Consider the following 16,347-nt stretch of genomic DNA (forward strand, 5'->3'; position numbering starts at 1 on the left):
GGCAGGCGCCTGTAATCCCAGCTACTGGGGAGGCTGAGACAGGAGAATTGCGTGAACCCGGGAGGGGAAGCTTGCGGTGAGCTGAGACTGAGCCGCTGCACTCCAGCCTGGCCTGCAGAGCGAGACTCCATAAAAAAAAAAAGAAAAAAAAATTATCTCTCCCCCTTCCCTTTCCTCTCCATATAAGTTGTGTGCACACAGGGACCTGTCTTTTTTATTATGGTATCCTCAGCGCTTTCGCACTTCGTAGGCACTCAATGAATATTCATTAATTGGGTGTGGGGGTAAGGGAAAGGAGGGGTCTAGTAAAATTTATAACTGGCGATTTGGTGGTTGGTGAGAGTATTGAGTGCGTGCCTAGGGCGCACAGGGGAAAACACTGGTAATATTTACTTCACGAGACCTTTTTAGAATTAACTAAAAGTATCTAAGGGCCTAGAAGAGTTCCTGACAATTGGCCAAAGTTCAGTAAATCTTAGAGAACACTCCTCCCCTTTTCTCCAAATTCCTCAGTTTTTCCCCAGGGTAGAGCAAGAGCAAAGGAGAGAAGCCTTTTGGGCCCTCCCTAAGCCACAGACAGGTTGGGGAAGCCTCTGGATCATTAAAAGGCAGAAAATAATTTTACATTTGGTCCTCTAAAACCCCACAAGCCCCAAATCAGAAGGCTGTGCCTGGACTTAGCTCGAGCGAGCCCAGAAGCACCTGGTGGGATACGCAGCTGTGCCCCAGGCATTTCTACCCACGGGCTCCGGCCAGAGAGGCTCGCGCTAGGCGGGCTGGGCCCGCGGGACGAATCCTCACCTCTGCGGCCCACTCGAGAGCGGGGCCACACGCGGGCGTCACACGCGCGGTCACGAGCCGGTTTGCCCCGCCGGGGCTTGGCCGAGGCCGCTCGGCGGCGGGCAGGGAAAGGCTTGGCCTGGCCGGCGGGACACCAGCGCCTTTGTCCGCGGCGCAGAAGGGCCCCAGCTGCGGACAGAGCCGGCGCCCTGCAGGCCGCGGGGAGGAGCGCGGCGGGCGCAGGCGGTGGCGGCCCGTGGGCGCGGGGCCCCTGCAGGGACGGGGACAGACGCGCACGGAGCGGGAGCCCGGCAGCTCCGGGTCTACGGGATCCATCCTCCCAAGGGTGCCCGAGAACACTCCATCGTCGCGGAATGCCCGCGCTTCTTTCGTTAAAGCTGTCTTTGAGTTTGCCTCCTCTGGTGGTAAAAGTTAATTCCACAAGTATTGACTTGGCCCAGAGTAATAGCAAAGAACCGTGAGCCTCCCGTTTTTACGCCCTAGGGGCTCACGCTCTTGGAAACGACGAAAGCGTTGCCTGTTTGTCAAGAAAACTAAGGAAAAACAGAGAAGAAAGCTAAGACGCTCTACAGACAGTAAGCGCCCTGGAAGGGAGATGAGAGCTAGGTGGGTGGGGCCACGTGGCCGAAGTGGAAAAGGCCCTAGTGGTGGGGCTGGGAGCTGTGGGATGCCACATGCCAACAAAGTCAGCAAATGCCTACGGGGCAAAACGAAGATGAAGAGTCCGAGGGAATCCCTAAAGCCAAAAACCACAGAATGTTTGGTAATCATTACCATTCAACAAACAAACTTTCCCTCAATATATTTTTTAAGGTTGACAGAAATAACCCTTTATTAAAATGAAATGTATATAACAACATATAACGTGGATGAAAACAATACATGTGATCCTTAAACTATTTAAAATTTCTTTTCTTTTCTTTTCTTTTTTTTTGAGACAGAGTCTCGCTCTGTCGCCCAGGCTAGAGTGCAGTGGCTGTCGGCTCACTGCAACCTCCACCTCCCTGGTTCAAGCGATTCTTGTGTCTCGGTCTCCCAGCACTTTGGGAGGCCGAGGCGGGCGGATCACCTGAGGTCAAGAGTTCAAGACCAGCCTGGCCAATATGGTGAAACCCCGTCTCTACTAAAAATACAAAAATTAGCCAGGCATGGTGGTGAACGCCTGTAGTCCCAGCTAGTCGGGAAGCTGAGGCAGGAGAATCTCTTGAACCTGGAAGGTGGAGGTTGTAGTGAGCTGAAATCATGCCACTGAACTCCAGCCTGGGTGACAGAGGGAGACTCTGTCTTAAAAAAAAAAAAAAAAAAAAAAAAAAAAGGTAAGACCTGCTGGGCTGCATTCCCAGTAAGTTAAGGCATTCTTAATCACAGGATGAGATAGGAGGTCAGCACGAGATACAGGTCATAAATACCTTGTTTTTTGTTTGTTTGTTTTTGAGATGGAGTCTCACTCTGTCACTCAGTTGCCCAGACTGGAGTGCAGTGGCGCAATCTCGGCTCACTGCAACCTCTGCTTCCTGGGTTCAAGAGATTCTCCCGCCTCAGCTTCCCGAGTAGCTGGGATTACAGGCATCCACCATCAGGCCCGGCTAATTTTTGTATTTTTGTAGAGGCAGGGTTTTACCATGTTGGCCAGGCTGGTCTTGAACCCCTGACGTCAGGTGATCCTCCGGCCTCAGCCTCCCAAAGTGCTGGGATTATAGGCATGAGCCACTGCGCCGGCCAGACCTTGTTGATAAAACAAGTTGCAGTAAAAAAACCGGCTAAAACCCACCAAAACCAAGATGGCGATGAGAGTGACCTCTGGTCGTCCTCACTGCTACACTCCCACCAGCACCATGACAGCTTACAAATGCTATGGCAACATCAGAAGTTACCCTATATGGTCTAAAAAGGAGAGGCATGAATAATCCACCCCGTGTTTAGCATATCATCAAGAACTAACCATAAAAATGGGCAACCAGAAGCCCTTGGGGCTGTTTTGTCTATGGAGTAGCCATTCTTTTATTCCTTTACTTTCCTTATAAACTTGTTTTCACTTTATGATCTCGCTCTGAATTCTCTTTTGCAAGATCCAGGAACCCTCTCTTGGGATCTGGACTGGGACTCCTTTCCAGTAATGTAACCGCCCAAGGTGTTCACCTTGCCTCCTGCCTAGACAGAACCAACTTATCACAACCTTTTTGATAAATTGATAAATTTTGATCGCTCAGCTTATATTCAGTTCTTGTTAATCCCCTAAGCAGGAACTAATTTACTGGGGAGGGATTTAATGTTAAAGTTGGGCATAGGTCTACAAGTCAGCCCAAGAGGATTCCTCACCTCATTAAATCTACTCACCACTGCCGATGAAAAATATATTAATCCTAATGTCTGGTCCAAAAAAGGAAACCGAGGGAAATTCCAAGTCCCTCCGATCCACATCAAGCTAAAAACCCCAGGAGAAGTAGTAAGAAGGAAGCAATCCCTATTCCCCTAGAAGGTAGGATAGGGTTGAAACCTATAATCAAAGACCTTATTAAGGATGGGCTTCTCGAGCCCTGTATGTCCCCTTATAACACCCCAATACTGCCAGTCAAGAAATCAGATGGGTCATACCAGCTACTACAGGACCTTAGAGCTATCAACCAAATAGTCCAGACTACCAACCCCATTGTCCCCAATGCTTACACGGTTCTTAGCAAAATTCCATGTAATCATCAATGGTTTACCATAATAGATTTGAAGGATGCTTTTTGGGCATGTCCCCTGGCTGAAGATAGCCGAAATATATTTGCTTTTGAATGGGAGGATCGCCACTCAGGGCGGAAACAGCAATATCGAGATGGACGGTCTTGCTCCGACGGTTCATAGACTCTCCTAATCTTTTTGGCCAAATTTTAGAACAGGTACTAGAAAAAGTTGTCATACTAGAACAAATATGCCTTCTTCAGTACGTAGACGACATTCTTATATCTGGTGAAGATATAGAGAAGGTAACTGACTTCTCTACACATATTCTTAGCTATCTGCAGTTTGAGGGGCTATGAGTCTCAAAAAGAAAGCTTCAGTATGTAGAGCCCGAAGTTAAATATTTAGGCCACTTAATAAGTGCAGACAAGCGAAGAATAGGGCCTGAATGAATCGAGGGAATGGTGTCCCTACCCTTGCCTCAAACTAAATAAGAACTCAGGAAATTTTTAGGGTTAGTCAGATACTGCCGCTTATGGATTGACTCATGCACTGCACAGTAAACTGTTATATTAAAAACTTGCCCAGGAGAAGCCGAACCATCTCCTGTGGACTTCTGAGGAAGCTGATCAAGTCTAGAAGCTGAAGGAAAGGCTCATAACTGCCTTACCCTCCCTAGAAAAGCCATTCCACCTTTTTGTTAATGTGGACAGTGCGGTAGTTTTAGGAGTGCTGACTCAAGAACACAGAGGCCGCCGGCAGCCCGTAGCCTTCCTATCAAAGGTGTTGGACCCAGTCACTTGTGGATGGCCTCAATGCATCCAGTCCATCGGGGCTGCGGCAATACTGGTCGAGGAAAGCAGGAAGTTAACCTTTGGAGGAAAATTGACGGTAAGCACGCCTCACCAAGTTAGAACTATCTTAAACCAGAGAGCAGGGAGATGGCTTACCGACTCGAGAATCTTGAAGTATGAGGCCGTTCTGTTAGAAAAGGATGATTTAACATTGACCTCTGATAATTCACTCAACCCAGCAGGTTTCCTAACAGGGAATCCAAATCTATGGAGGGAACACACATGTTTAGATTTAATTGATTACCATACAAAGGTTCGACCAGACCTAGGAGAAACCCCCTTCCGGACTGGACGGCACTTATTCATAGACAGTTCCTCCGGGGTGATTGAGGGAAAAAGACACAATGGGTATTCAGTGATTGATGGAGAAATTCTCATAGAAATAGAATCTGGAAAATTGCCAACAATTGGTCTGCTCAAACATGTGAGCTATTTGCACTCAGCCAAGCCTTAAAGTACTTACAGAACCAGGAAGGAACCATCTATACAGATTCCAAGTATGCCTGTGTAGTGGCCCATATGTTTGGGAAAATTTGGACTGAAAGAGGTCTCATTAGTAGTAAAGGTCAAGACCTTGTTCACAAGGAGCTGATCACCCAAGTATTGAATAATCTTCAGTTGCCAGAAGAAATAGCTATTGTCCGTGTTCCCGGACACCAGAAAAACCTTTCTTTTGAAAGTTGAGGAAATAACCTAGCAGATCAGGTAGCCAAGCAGGCTGCTGTGTCTTCTGAAATGCATATTTTTCACTTAACTCCCTACCTGCCTCCTCCTACTGTAATCCCCATTTTTTCTTCCACTGAAAGAGAGAAACTAATAAAAATAGGTGCTAAAGAGAATTCAGAAGGAAAGTGGATACTGCCAGACCAGAGAGAAATGTTGTCTAAACCCCTTATAAGGGAAGTCTTATCCCAACTACATCAAGGGACCCATTGGGGGCCTCAGGCCATGTGTGATGCAGTTCTCAGGGTTTATGGTTGTATAGGAATTTATACCCTGGCCAAACAGGTTACAGATAGTTGCTTAGTATGTAAGAAAACTAATAGACATACTATAAAAAGATTACCTCTCAAGAGAAGGAATCCGGGCTTAAGGCCATTCCAAAGTATCCAAGTTGATTACACAGAAATGCCTCCAATAGGTCGTCTGAAATATTTACTAGTAGTAGTAGACCACCTCACTCACTGGGTTGAAGCTATCCCTTTTCAAATGCGACAGCCAATAATGTAGTTAAGGCCCTAATTGAAAATATAGTACCTAGGTTTGGACTAATAGAAAATATTGACTCAGACAATGGAACTCATTTCACCGCACACATTATTAAAAAGCTATCCCAAACATTAGACATTAGATGGGAACACAATATTCCCTGGCACCCACCCTCATCAGGGAGAGTAGAAAGAATGAATCAGATGCAAAAGAACCACCTAACCAAATCAGTCTTAGAGACTTGGTTGCCGTGGACCAAGTGTCTTCCTATACCCTGCTGAGAATTCGAACTGCACCACGGAAAGACATTGGTCTTTCTCCTTATGAGATGCTCTATGGATTACCTTATTTGCACTCCACTACTGATATTCCTACCTTTGAAACAAAAGACCCAATCAATTCCTTACAAATTATATACTTGATGTATCTTCTACTTTCTCTTCTCTTAAAACTAAAGGTTTTTTAGCACAGGCGCCACCCTTGGAGTTCCCGGTGCATCAACATCAGCCTGGGGATCATGTCCTCATTAAGAGCTGGAAAGAGGAAAAACTTGAGCCAGCCTGGGAAGGTCCTTACTTAGTGCTCCTCGCGACTGAAACCGCAGTCCACACCGCAGAGAGAGGATGGACTCCAGAGTCATGGGCCATAGTCCTAGGGGAAAACCCTACCAAACTAAAGCTAAGAAGAATTTAACTCTCTTTCATCTATTCTATTACTTTTTCTTCTTTCCTCGCTCTATTGCTGACCATCTAGTTATTAACGTAACCAAGTCAAGTTCACCTCAAACTATTGCATTTGATGCTTGCCGTGTTATACTCTGTAGGGATTTGCTAAGTCAAAGACAGCTCTCTACTTCAGAAAAGTACCTCTGTCCCTCCTGGCTCTCCTCAGACTGGGCATTAGTGAATTGGGACCATTTAATCCGGGGAGATTTCAATAAAGACCCCAGTGGCAACCAGGAGTCTTGCCCCACTGATGTAGAGCTTTTATGCCGTAGTTGGTCCGATGTTCTGTGAACCACCAAAGAGCAAGGATGGAGTGCCCCAACCAGTTTTTATAATTTCCTAAAACCATACATTCATTTTACTAAAGGGACAGCCCCCCCTAACTGTCAGCTAAACCAGTGCAACCCTATACAGGTTATTATTTTGAGCCCCCAAAGTTCTCCCCTTTTTCTAAGCCAGTTCCCTTCTTTCAGCCGGTTTTATGGTATGGGAGCTGAGGTTTCAGGGACAGACCTATTGGATTCTTTGAAATGTGTTTCTTTGATCCCCCACCACCTGAACCTGCTTCTAAAGCTTTTTCTAAAACCTCTTACAATGGAACCATTGTTCCTCCTCCATCTAACGACAAGGCCAAGATAGCGATGGTAGAAGTTAAAGACTTAAAACAAACTTTAGCAATCGAGACAGGATACCAAGATGTAAATGCCTGGTTGGAATGGATCAAATATTCCATCTGCACGTTAAACAAAAGCAATTGTTATGCTTGTGCGTGTGGCAGGCCAGAGGTGCAGATTGTCCCCTTTCCACTAGGGTGGTACTCCAGCAGACTGGGCATGGGCTGCATGGTAGCTCTTTTCCAGGATTTTACAGCCTGGGGTAACAAGTCATGCCAAGCTCTCTCTCTGCTGTATCCTGAAGTTCCACACCCTGTGGGTCAGCCCCTGAGGGCCATCCAGCTTCGGTCTCCCAACACTAAGTTCACTTCGTGTCTCTCACGACAGGGAGGAAACTTAGCGTTCCTTGGAGACCTGAAGGGATGCAGTGAGCTTAAGAACTTTCAAGAGCTTACCAATCAGTCAGCCCTTGTTCATCCCCGAGTGGATGTGTGGTGGTATTGTGGTGGACCTTTACTGGACACTCTACTGAATAACTAGAGTGGCACTTGTGCTTTAGTCCAATTGGCTATCCCTTTTACCCTGGCATTTCATCAATAAGAGGAAGAAAAAATAAGACATTGTAAAGTGAGAGAAGCCCCTTATGCTTTCGACTCTCACATCTATTTAGACACAGTTGGAGTCCCATGGGGAATACCAGATCAATTTAAGGCCCAAAATCAAATAGCTGCAGGATTTGAGTCAATATTTTGGTGAGTGACAGTTAACAAAAATGTAGATTGGATAAACTACGTCTATTACAACCAACAGGGATTTATTAACTACACTAGAGATGCTGTTAAAGGAATAGCTGAGCAATTAGGGGCTACTAGCCAGATGGCTTAGGAAAATAGGATAGCCTTAGACATGATATTAGCAAAAAGAGGAGGAGTTTGCGTCATGATTAAAACTCGATGTTGCACCTTCATCCCAAACAACACCGCCCCTGATGGAAGTATAACAAAGGCATTGCAAGGTCTGACTGCTCTATCCAATGAGTTAGCCAGCAACTCAGGGGCAAATGACCCCTTTACGGGATGGCTAGAGAAGTGGTTTGGTAAATGGAAAGGAATAATAGCCTCAATTCTTTCCTCCCTCGTAGCTGTAATAGGTGTACTTATTCTTGTCGGGTGCTGTGTTATACCATGCATCCTGGGTTGGTGCAGGGGCTCATAGAAATGGCACTTACTAAAACCTCCCTTAACTATCCTCCACCTTATCCAGAGAAGCTGCTTCTTTTGGAAAATCAAGCAGAACAACTAAGTCAAGACATGTTAAATAAGTTTGAAGAGAAAGCCATAAAAAATTGCAAGAGGAGGAAGTTGTTGAATATGAATTCTAAATTTCTCTTCAAAGAATTAATATGTCAGTATGTTCAATTCTTTGCCTTCTACTTTTAAACTTAACTTCCTCGTAAAGCAACCTTTTGTGATTACCTACTCTACCCTGACTCATCCCGATTACCTACTCCACCCTGACTCATTCTGATCACCTACTCCACTCTAACTCATTCTGATCACCTCCACCCTGAATCATTCTGATCACCTGCTCCACCCTAACTCATTCCGGTTACCTGCTACAAAGCGCTCACCCCATCATTCTCTTTAAATTAGCCAATCGGAATTAGTTTAGCCTGTGCGGTCTAACACTAGCCAATAGGGGAATGACCCAGCAGCAGGGGCCATGTGCGTGTAATCCCAGCGCTTTGGGAGGCAGAGGCAGGCGGATCAGGAGGTCAGGAGATTGAGACTATTCTGGCTAACATGGTGAAACCCTGTCTCTATTAAAAATACAAAAAATTAGCCGGGCATGGTGGTGGGCGCCTGTAGTCCCAGCTACTCGGGAGGCTGAGGCAGGAGAATGGCGTGAACCCGGGAGGCGGAGCTTGCAGCAGTGAGCCCAGATTGGCCATTGCACTCCAGCAGCCTGGGCGACAGACAGAAACTCTGTCTCAAAAAAAAAAAAAAAAAAAAAAAAAAAAGAACCCCTTCTTCTCCCTTGTCCAAATGTGCGCCCACCATTGCTCCATCGGTGAGAGCGCACCCTTCTATAGAAGTACCTTGCCTTGCTGAGAATTAAAAAACAGAAAATTTTATATTCGAGTGCTACAACACAGAGGAATTGCAATGGATAAGGAGTAATTCACGCAGAGCTGGCTGTGAGGGAGACCGGAGTTTTATTATTACTCAAATCAGTCTCCCCAGCATTGGGGGAGCAGAGTTTTTAAGGATAACTTGGTCGGTGGGGGGAAGCCAGTGATCCAGGAGTGCTGATTGGTCAGAGGTGAAATGATATGGAATTGGATCTGTCTTCTTGAGCTCAGTCAGTTCCTGGGTGGGGGCCACAAGATCAGATGAGCCAGTTTTTGATCTGAGTGGGACCAGCTGATCCATGAAGTGCAGGGTCTGCAAAATATCTCAAGCAGTGACCTTAGGAGCAGTTTAGGGAGGGTCAGAATCCTGTAGCCTCCAGCTGCATGACTCCTAAACCATAATTTCTAATCTTGTGACTAATGTTAGTCCTACAAAGGCAGTCTAGTCCCCAGGCAAGAAGGAGGTCTGCTTTGGGAAAGGGCTGTTACCGTCTTTGTTTAAACCATAAACTACAAACTAAACTTCTCCCAAAGTTAGTTCAGCCTATGCCCAGGAATGGACAAGGACAGCTTGGAGGTTAAAAGCAAAATGAAGTCAGTTAAGTTAGATCTCTTTCACTGTCTCAGTCATAATTTTGCAAAGGTGGTTTCAGTAACATAATTGTTCCTAAGACTCTGTTCAAGCATATACAACATACCAGATGCTTTCCTTATACCTTTGAACATTTTATTATTATTATTATTGAGATGGAGTCTAGCTCTGTTGCCAGGCTGGAGTGCAGTGGCGCGATCTTGGCTCACTGAAACCTCCGCCTACCGGGTTCAAGCGATCCTCCTGCCTCAGCCTCCTGAGTAGTTGGGACTATAGGCACGCGCCACCACGCCCAGCTAATTTTTTGTATTTTTAATAGAGACGGGGTTTCTCCATGTTGGCCAGGATGGTCTTGATCACTTGACCTTGTGATCTGCCCACCTCAGTCTCCCAAAGAGCTGGGATTACAGGTGTAAGCCACCGTGCCCAGCCCATTTTATTATTTTTAATCCCGAAGCTATATGTTTTGTTTAACTTATTTAATAAACATACTCATCTTTTTTTGTTTGTTTGTTTGAGATGGGGTCTCATTCTGTCACCCAGGTTGGAGTGTAGTGGGATGATCACATCTCACTGCAACCTCTGCCTCCGGGCTCAAGCGATCCTCCCACCTCAGCTTCCCAAGTAGCTGGGACCACAGGCATGTGCCACCATGTCCAGCTAAGTTTTTGTATTTTTTGTAGAGGCAGGGTTTTGCCACGTTGCCCAGGCTGGTCTTGAACTCCTGGTCTCAGGCCATCCACCAGCCCCGGCCTCCCAAAGTGCTGGGATTACAGGTGTGATCCTCCATGCCCAGCCTATTTTGTTTTTCTGATTGCTTTCTAAATATTAACGTATGTAATCCTCATAACAATGGCTTTGTTACCAGAAAGGAGTCCAAATCTAGACCCCAAGAGAGGGTTCTTGGAGCTTGCCCAGGAAAGAATTCAGGGTGAGTCCTTAGTAAAGTGAAAGCAAGTTTATTAAGAAAGTAAAGGAATAGGCCTGGTGAGGTGGCTCATGCCTGTAATCCCAGAACTTTAGGAGGCCGAGGTGAGCGTATCACTTGAGGTCAGGCATTTGAGACCAGCCTGGTCAACATAGCGAAACTCTGACTCTACTAAAAATACAAAAATTAGCTGGGGTTGGTGGCGCATACCTGTAATCTCAGCTCTTTGGGTGGCTGAGGCACGAGAATCTCTTGAACCTGGGAGGAGGAGGTTGCAGTGAGCTGAGATCACACCACTGCACTCTAGCCTGGGTGACAGAGTGAGACTGTGTCTCAAAAAAAAAAAAAAAAAAAAAAAGAAAGGGAATAAGAGAACGGCTACTGCATAGACAGATCAGCAGCATGGGCTGACTTATGGTTATTTGATTATATGCTGAACAAGGGGTGGATTATTCAGGAGTTTTGTGGGAAAGGGATGGGAGTTCCCAGAATTGAGAGTTTAGACCCTTTTAGACTGTGTAGGGTAATCTCTGGGCATTGCTATGGCATTTGCATGGTGCTGGTGGGAGTGTCTTTTAGCATGCTAATATGTTGCAATTAGCATATAATGAGCAGTAAGGACAACCAGAGGTCACTTTCGTTGCCATCATGGTTTTGTTGGTTTTTGGCCGGCTTCTTTATTGCATGCTGTTTTTTTTTTTTTTGTTTTGTTTTGAGAAGGAGTCTTGCTCTGTTGCCAGGCTGGAGTGCAGTGGCATGATCTCGGCTCACTGCAACCTCCGCCTCCTGGGTTTAAGCAATTCCCCTGCCTCAACTTCCCTAGTAGCTGGGACTACAGGTATGTACCACCACGCCCAGATAATTTTTTGTATTTTACTAGACACAGGGTTTCACCGTGTTGTCCAGGATGGTCTTGATCTCCTGACCTTGTGATCCGCCCGCCTCGGCCTCCCAAAGTGCTGGGATTACATGCGTGAACCACCGCACCTGGCTATTATCAGCAAGGTCTTTGTGACCTGTATCTTGTGCTGGCCTCCTATCTCAACCTATGACTAACAATTCCTAAGCTCCTGGGGATGCAGTCTAGTAGGTCCCAGCCTCATTTTACCCAGTACCTATTCAAGATGGAGCCAGCCTGGTTGCAATGCCTCTGACAGTTTGGAGAGAAGATTATTTAGTTATTTATTGAGATGGAGTGCAATGGCGTAATCTCAGCTCACTGCAACCTCCGCCTCCCAGGTTCAAGCGATTCTCCTGCCTCAGCCTCCTGAGTAGCTGGGATTACAGGTATGCACCACCACACTCGGCTAATTTTGTATTTTTAATAGTGATGGGGTTTTCACCATGTTGGCCAGGCTGATCTCGAACTCCTGACCTGAGGTATCTGCTTGCCTCAGCCTCCCAAGGTGCTGGGATTACAGCCGTGAGCCACGCCACCTCGACCGGCGTTTTTTTTTGTTTGTTTGCTTGTTTTTTTGAGACGGAGTCTCAAGCTATCACCCAGGCTGGAGTGCAGTGGCATGATCTCGGCTCACTACAATCTCTACCTCCCAGGTTCAAGTGATCCTCCTTCCTCAGCCTCCCGAGTAGCTAGGACTACAAGCATGTGCCACCATGCCTGGCTAAGTTTTGTATTAGTAGAGACAGGGTTTCATCATGTTGGCCAGGCTGGTCTCAAACTCTTGACCTTGTGATCCACCCTCCTCAGCCTCCCAAAGTGCTGGGACCAGTGGCACTCATATTTTAAATAACATGGAATTCCTGGGGTGGTGCTAAAGTGTTTTTTTTTTTTTTAATAAAGATGAGGGGTCAGGTTTGGACATAGCCATAGGATAAGAGTTAAAACAAACTTGGCTTGTTGGCATTGATTTATGGACAACGCTTTCCCAGATCACACAAAAGCCTCAGGAAGACTGACACCAACTGTGAGTTTCTTCTCTTCTCATCCTTTCTGTGTCACCTTCCGTTCTGGGAAGACCAGGCTCCATTAGCTACTTTTCTTCCTGGATGCTCAAGAACTCCTCTGTCATGCTTGGGACCCAAGTCCTTCCCATTATACGTTGAGCTGGGTTCTGTGTCCCAGAGTTAGAGACTGTGTTATGCTAGGTCTTATCTGAATCTCCCATAAGTGGGTTTCCTTGGCTTCGGGCTTCTGATCCTACAGAAGCTAGCCACCTCCTTTGCTCTTTGCTGTGGTTGCCAGAAGAGGAGTTCCTTTACTGGTCCCTATCTGTTATCTTTTCGGCTTGATTCACCCTGCCTGTAGCCACTCCATCCAGTGGATCCTAGTCCTGTTTGTGTTTTTTTTTTAAGACTCTAAATGTTCTTTAGGTTCCTTCTTAACTCTGTGCTTCTAGGATTGTTCTGCCTCTATCATGTCTCCTGTCAAATTCTTCTTAGAGTAAGTTTTTTAACGAAGTCAGATTTCCCTACTGAATTATTCTAACCTAGCATCTATCTTTTTTTTTTTTTTTTTTTTTTGAGATGGAGTCTCACTCTGTCACCCAGGCTGGAGTGCAGTGGTGCAGTCTTGGCTCACTGCAACCTCTACCTCCCAGGTTCAAGCAATTCTCCTGCTTCAGCCTCCTGAGTAGCTGGGACTACAGGTAAGCACCACTAGGCCTGGTTAATTTTTCTATTTTTTGTACAGATGTGGTTTTGCCATGTTGGCCAGGGTGGCCTTGGCCTCTCAAAGTGCTGGGATTACAGGTGTGAGCCATCGGGCCTGGCCTAACTTAACATCTATCTTATCTTCTCTAGAGGGTCCTGCTGTCAGGCTGGTCACTGTTTTGTCCGTGCCCTGACCATGTGGCTTGTCTTTAGGGAGCCCAGATGCTTATACTCTCATTGTAAGTTGGGTAAGAAAACTATTCTCCCTCTTGGTATTTTAGATAATCTTCCCCTTAGCTGCTCTGGCAATTCCTCTGCTCTAATCCCAAGACTGGCAACTAACATGGCTCCTGTCTGGCTCATGGCCATTCACTGCCGTAATCCCTTTTCTTAGCCACAAATATCTACTCATTATGGACTGGGCAAGGGGAAAACAGACTCCACATGGTCACACTGTTATCTTTTTTTTTTTTTGAGATGGAGTTTCACTCTTGTTGCCCAGGCTGGAGTGCAATGGCACGATCTTGGCTCACTGCAACCTCCGCCCCCGGGTTCAAGCGATTCTCCTGCCTCAGCCCCCCGAGTAGCTAGGATTACAGGCATGCACCACCACACCCAACTAATTTTGTATTTTTAGTAGAGACAGGGTTTCTCCATGTTTGCCAGGTTGGTCTCAAACTCCTGACCTCAGGTGATCCACCCGCCTCGGCCTCCCAAAGTGCTGGGATTACAAGCATGAGCCACCACACCTGGCCACACTGTGTTTTTTTTTTTTTTTTTTTGAGATGGAGTCTCGCTCTATTGCCCAGGCTGGAGTGCAGTGGCGTGATCTCGGCTCACTGCAAAGTCCACCTCCCAGGTTCATGCCATTCTCCTGCCTCAGCCTCCTGAGTAGCTGGGACTACAGGCGCCCAACACCGCGCCCGGCAAATTTTTTGTATTTTTAGTAGAGACAGGGTTTCACCGTGTTAGCCAGGATGGTCTCGATCTCCCGACCTCGTGATCCACCTGCCTCGGCCTCCCCAAGTGCTGGGATTACAGGCGTGAGCCACCGCGCCTGGCCACACACTGTTACCTTTTACAGTGCTTTAAAGCAAATGTTAAACCAGAATGTAATCAGCTCCCAAGGTCAGAAGGGGCATCTTTCTCCATAAGAAGATGTGTGCATGTGCTTACCTCCATTGCACTGGACTTAGGACAGCATTTTGGCACTGTGCAAGAGTACAAATGTGTGACGTACTCAGCCCAGAACTGTCCCGTTTGCTGGGGAATATAGGAGCTTTCCCTGAACCATATTTCTCCTTTTGGGCGGGTTGTCCTCTTCCTGCCTCCAGCCAAGAGGTGGTCTATGTCTCTCCGAGTCTTCATTCCCAGTATGGATATTCCTCCCATCAGCATTATCTCAAGGAGCTCCTGACTATGCCCAGTGATCCTTGGGTGAGGCCACACTGTACCCCTGTAAGTTTAGGTCACATTTCAGCTATTAGAGGGTCCCAGCTTCAGCTCTATTCCAGAGTCCATAAACAGCAATTCAGCATTTCTAGGGGCTTAAAAGCAATTCTGTTTTTGTATCCTTGGACCACAGATTTTTCTAGGGCCATCTGGACTCTCTGAGTTGCTGCCAATAGGACAGCAGGGAAAGTCCAGACCAGTCCAGGTTAACCGGCCCCAACATATCAATGTGGTTTTCTATGATGTCTTCCACTCCCCAGGTCAGCCAACCAAATCCTGTTCCACTGGGGTTCAGAGTCCCTAAAATGGAACTGTTTGGTTCTTCTAGGAGCACAGGAAGAAAACAGTGAGGAGGAGGAGTGGGGAGAAAAAGACTCATGCGAAAAAGGGAGAGGAAGTGAGTGATGCTGAGGGAAGAGAAAAAAGCAAATGGCAACAGCAGCAGCAGAAGGAGAGTGAGGGTGGGAGGGAAAGGCAGAAATACAGAGTTCTACTCTTGATAATGTACTATTATTTTTGAGATAGGGTCTCGCTATGTCACCCAAGCTGGAGGGCAATGGCATGATCATGGCTCACTGCAACCGTGACCTCCTGGGCTGAAGCAATCCTCCCTTCTCAGCCTCCCAAGTAGCTAGGACTACAGGTGTGTGCCATTAGATCCGGCTAATTTTTAAAATTTTTTGTAGAGATGAGGTCTTGTTATGTTGCCCAGGCTGGTCTCGAACTCCTGACCTCAAGTGATGCTTTCATCTCAGCCTCCCAAAGTGCTGGGATTACAGGCATGAGCCACCATGCCCAGCCTTCTCTCTCTCTCTCTCTCTCTCTCTCTCTCTCTCTCTCTCTCTCTCTCTCTCTCTCTCTCTCTCTCTCTGTGTGTGTGTGTGTGTGTGTGTGAGAGAGAGAGAGAGAGAAGAGGTAGAGGTTTATTGAAATATGAACATTTGGCCAGGCTCAGTGGCTTGCATCTGTAATCCCAGCACTTTGGGAGGCCAAGGTGGGTGGATCGCTTGAGCCCAGGAGTTTGAGACCAGCCTGGGCAACATGGCGAAACCCTGTCTCTACTAAAAATGTACAAAAAATTAGCTGGGTGTGGTGGTGTGTTCCTATAGTCCCAGCTCCTTGGAGGCTGAGGTGGGAGTATGGCTTGAGCCTGGGAGGTGGAAATTGCAGTGAGCTGAGACCACGTTACTGCATTCCAGCCTGGGCAACAGAGTGAGACCCTATCTCAAACAAACAAATACAAAACCAAAAAAAAAAAAAAAAAAAAAGAGAGAGACAGAAAGAAATATAAACATTCAAGGAAATGTAAGATGGAAACAGCCATAACATATAGAGACACTTGCTGCAAGAGGATGCCTGAGGCATTTATTCACTGCCTAGGCTGCCCATGTGCTGTCACATTTTTCCTGGTTTGAATACATATAAGATGGGAAGAGGGGAGGGGACAGAGTTGCTCTGGCTGACTGCCTACCATGTGGCCTTCAGGAATGCACCTTCAGGAAAGCTCCACTTGGGCTAGGGCCCCACTCCTGGGCACCTGCTGGCACCCTCCCCTCTTGGGCTCTGGGTAAGACCTTGTGTTGTCCTTGAGGGCAGTGGGGGTTCTCACTCATCACTCAGAGGATGAGGCCAGGCAAGCTGCCTGGGGAAAGGGAGAGGATCCAATGGCCAGAAAGACACAGTGTGCTGTCCTTGCATCCTCTGGGTGGGAAGAGTCCATCTTTTGTGACCACAGCTCTGAGAAACACACTGGCCAAATGTCTG

At 46.8% G+C, this 16,347-nt stretch overlaps 2 annotated features.

The window, feature by feature from the left end:
- Nucleotides 968-1,077: a silencer, noted in NCBI's record as "silent region_6366". NCBI's record gives its function as "represses an Ori minimal core promoter by ATAC-STARR-seq in GM12878 lymphoblastoid cells {active_cell/tissue: GM12878}" and the evidence as "EXISTENCE:reporter gene assay evidence [ECO:0000049][PMID:35858748]".
- Nucleotides 11,462-11,963: an enhancer, noted in NCBI's record as "H3K4me1 hESC enhancer chr15:41888161-41888662 (GRCh37/hg19 assembly coordinates)". NCBI's record gives its function as "activates a minimal SCP1, AML or CMV promoter by ChIP-STARR-seq in primed H9 embryonic stem cells {active_cell/tissue: H9 hESC(primed)}" and the evidence as "EXISTENCE:reporter gene assay evidence [ECO:0000049][PMID:30033119]".

Source organism: Homo sapiens, chromosome 15 (assembly GCF_000001405.40).
Source record: "Homo sapiens chromosome 15, GRCh38.p14 Primary Assembly".
Lineage (NCBI taxonomy): Eukaryota > Metazoa > Chordata > Mammalia > Primates > Hominidae > Homo > Homo sapiens.